The sequence below is a fragment of the Homo sapiens genome, chromosome 20, assembly GCF_000001405.40.
Source record: "Homo sapiens chromosome 20, GRCh38.p14 Primary Assembly".
NCBI lineage: Eukaryota > Metazoa > Chordata > Mammalia > Primates > Hominidae > Homo > Homo sapiens.
This window is the reverse complement of record NC_000020.11, coordinates 4,520,680-4,524,695: the sequence shown is the minus strand read 5'-3', so window position 1 is coordinate 4,524,695 and position 4,016 is coordinate 4,520,680. Positions and strand designations below refer to the sequence as shown.

At 42.9% G+C, this 4,016-nt stretch overlaps 2 annotated features.

The window, feature by feature from the left end:
- Positions 2,702–3,201: an enhancer, noted in NCBI's record as "H3K4me1 hESC enhancer chr20:4502141-4502640 (GRCh37/hg19 assembly coordinates)". NCBI's record gives its function as "activates a minimal SCP1, AML or CMV promoter by ChIP-STARR-seq in primed H9 embryonic stem cells {active_cell/tissue: H9 hESC(primed)}" and the evidence as "EXISTENCE:reporter gene assay evidence [ECO:0000049][PMID:30033119]".
- Positions 3,202–3,703: an enhancer, noted in NCBI's record as "H3K4me1 hESC enhancer chr20:4501639-4502140 (GRCh37/hg19 assembly coordinates)". NCBI's record gives its function as "activates a minimal SCP1, AML or CMV promoter by ChIP-STARR-seq in primed H9 embryonic stem cells {active_cell/tissue: H9 hESC(primed)}" and the evidence as "EXISTENCE:reporter gene assay evidence [ECO:0000049][PMID:30033119]".

Here is a 4,016-nt window from a genome sequence, read left to right as displayed (position 1 = left end):
AGATTCAGTGTTTCCTTTTAGTGTGAACGTAAGCAACTGTTAACAGTACCTGTGACTTTGCTACCAGTAGAAATTACAGGTCCTTCATTGTATTATGGTTCTTACAGCTGTCCCAAAATATTGTTTATGCTCATCACTATTTTAAAATCAGGGAAGTTCTCTGACCTGCCACTAGGTATTGTTTTGTGGATTAAAAAATTGTTACGTATTATATACTACACCACAGGAGGCAATGGTTCAACAATCCCAAATCCTTAGCTCTTGCTTTTTCTGTTTTAAGATAATTTATTGAGGTGAAATTTATACAGCATAAAATTAACCATTTTAAAGTGAACAATTTAGCGGCAGTTAGTTTATTCATGATATTATGCAACTACCACCTTTGCCTAGTTTGAAACATTTCCATCACTCCAAAGTAAAACCTCTTACCCAATAAGTTGTTTCTCCCCATGATTTCCTCCCTATGGTCCCCAAAATCCACTAATTTGTGTCCTGTCTCTATGAGTTTATCTCTTCTGGATATTTCATATGAATGGAATCATGCAATATGTGATCTTACGTGCCTGACTTCTTACACTTAGCATAATGTTTTGGAGGTTCATCCACATTGTAGCATATATCAATACTTCATCCCTTTTTATGGCTGAATAATATTCCATTTACGTATATATATCAACTTGTTATTTATTTATCTATTGATGGGGGTTTGTGCTGTTTCCATCTTTCGGCTATTGTGCTGTCATGGATATGTGTGTACATGAACTTGTTGGAGTACCTGTTTTCAGTATTTTGGTGTATATATCTAGTAGTGTAATTGTGGGGTCATGTGGTAATTCTATGTTTAACTTTTTGAAGAATTACCAAATTGTTTTCCTCAGTTGTTCAACCATTTTTAATTTCCACTAACAATGTACATGTTCCACTTTTTGTTTTTTGATTATAGCCATCATAGTGGATATAAAGCTCATTGAGGGTTTGATTTGGATTTCCCTAATAACTAATTATGCTAAGCATCTTTTCATGTGTTTCTTGGACATTCATATATCTTCTTTGGGAAAATGTCTATTCAAGTCCTTTGCCCATTTTTAAGTTGGTTTGTTTTCTTTTGTTCTTGAGTTGTAAGAATTCTTTATATATTCTGGACACTAGACCTTTATTGGATATATAATTTGCAAAATATTTTCTGCACAGCCATAAAAAATTATGAGTTCATGTCCTTTCTAGGGACATGGATGAAACTGCAAACCATCATTCTCAGCAAACTATTGCAAGGACAAAAAACCAAACACTGCATGTTCTCACTCATAGGTGGGAATTGAACAATGAGAACACATGGACACAGGAAGGGGAACATCACACTCCGGAGACTGTTGTGGGGTGGGGGGAGGGGGGAGGGATAGCATTAGGAGATATACCTAATGCTAAATGACGAGTTAATGGGTGCAGCAGACCAACATGGCACCTGTATACATATGTAACAAACCTGCACATTGTGCACGTGTACCCTAAAACTTAAAGTATAATAATAATAAAATAAAATAAAAAATAAAATAAAATAAAATATTTTCTGCCATTCTATAGTTGTCTTTTCACTTTTTCATAATGTTCTTTGATGTGCAAAAGTTTGTAATTTTGATGAAGTCCAATTCAACTATTTTTTATTTTGTTGCTTGTGCTTTTTGTGTCAGATCTAAGTGTCTATTGCCAAATCCAAGGTCACCAAGATTTACCTCTGTATATTCCTCTAAGAGTTTTATCATTTTAGCCTTTAACTTTATATCTTTTTTCCATTTTGATTTAATTTTTGTGTATTATATAAGGTAAGGATCCAATTTCATTCTTTTGCATATGGATACTAGTTTTCCCAACATCATTTGTTGAAAAGACTGCTTTTTCCCCATAAATGGTCTTGGCATTCTTGTTGAAAATTGAGTGTATATGCAAGGGTTTATATAATATCTGGGTTATCTGTTCTATTTCATTGGTCTATATGTTTATTCTTATGCCAATACTGTCACGGGATCCTTGGGTTGTCATTTCACCAGCTGGAAACCTCTGTGGCCAGTGGGGCCTTCTGCCTGAGTATTGCTCGTGCCCGCTGGGCTTGTTCTGCCCACATGGCCCAGCAGACTGTGCTTAGCTTGTGCTACCAGCCCAGATCCCACACCTGCCAAGGACAAGCTAGGCATAGAGTGGCGAGGGGTGTGTGAGGGAGCGAGCGCGGGGTCCAGCCACTGCACACAGCCAGGCATGCCAGCTGCTGCAGTGGGGCAGGCAGCTACAGGTGCCAGCTCTGTACAAGGCTGCAGCTGGACCAGATGTACTACATGTGGCTTTCACGTGGGCACCTTCATCTGGATGAAGGGAATGTGGTGGCTCCCAGAAGCTTGGAGATGCCAGGAACTGCAGAGCCCCAAAGAAGGTGTCATAGCCCTGGCTTGGGGATCCCCTAGGTTTGGGCTCCCAAGAAGGGCTGTAGCTCTTCTCTCCTTCTCAATGTACACAACGAACGTGGTGAGTGAGGGACGTGTTTCAGCCCTGTTGTGTTACAGCTCTTTCAGTCCCACCATTTGGTGGGTACTGAGTTCTTGTCCTGTGTCCAGGAAGAATGAAGTACGAGGACAACTAGAGGGTGAGCAAGGCAGAGAGGAACTTCACTGAGCACCAGAACAGCTCTCAGGAGACCTGAATTGGTATCTCCTGCCCACAGTTGGTCATCCCCGATGTCTCTGTGAGTCTGGCTGAGTCTTGAGGTGTTTATGGGCTTCAGAAGTGGGGACGTGTGTGCTGACTGGTCCATGGGCAGCCATGGGTGGGCCCAGAAAAACCGTAACTTCTCCAGGTTGGGACTCCACCCAGAACTGACAGCCCACCCCTCAAATTTCAGGCCATCCCTGGCTTGAGGACGGGGCTTCATGGGGACCAGCCCCTTTCTGCTCAGGAGTCTGTCTGCCTCCTGCTGCCATTGATCATGCCATCCACGGTGCCTGAGCTGTTTGTTCTGAGGAGTGCCTGCAGGCCTGCATTGAGCCACGCTTGGCACCCCTCTTCGGCCTCACTCTTGTGCTTGTGGCCACCCAAAGTTCAGAGGGGGCTGAGGCGGAAGGGTGCTGAGGTGGCAGGGGTCTGGCATGTTAGTGCTGCCCCAAGTGCATGCACACCCGGCCAGGTCATGACAGTGCCTGGGCTCGGCCTCAACTTTGCTTTGAAATCAGAGTGGGTGCCTGGAGTAGGGAGAGGCCAAGCAGGGGAAAGAGGCACTCCCAAGCCTGTAGGGGCAGAGGGGGACTTCCTGGGCCCCTGAGAGTGGAGGGATGCCCAGGTCCACGGCCATGGTTGGGCGGTTGCAGCTGTGCCCGGAAGGGCAGGGCTCCTACGCCACCAACTTGGAAGGGGATAGGGCTCTGGCCTGTTCCTGGCTCCCACCCTCTCCGTGGAGCCTGCAGCCCTGGCCACGCCTCTTTTCCTGCAGCCAGCATCTTCCCAGCAGCCGCTCCAGGTGGGCCACCACTGCTATCAGTACCACACTTAAAAAAAAAAAAAAATCACTGTAGATTTTGTAGTAGGTTTCAAAATTGAGAAGTGTAAGTCCTCCAACTTTGTTCTTCCATTTCAAGATTGTTTTGGCTATTTAGAGCCTCTTGCAATTCCATATGAATTTGATTGTTGACTTTTTCATTTCTTAAAAAGTGGCCATTGAGATTTTGATTGGGATTGCATTGAATCTGTACATATCTTTGGGTAGTATTGACATCTAAAGAATATTAACTTTTCCAATCCATGAACACAAGATGTCTTTTCATATATTTAGGTCTTCTTTGATTTCTTTCAGCAATGTTTTATTGCTTTCATTGTACAGGTCATTCACCTCCTTGATTAAATTTATTCTTAGGCATCTTATTCTTTTGGATACTATTATAAGTGGTATTGATTTCTTAATTTCCTTCCCAGATTGTTCATTGTTGGTTTATTGAAACACAAATTATTTTGGGGTGTTGCAAGTTGTACCTTGCAAC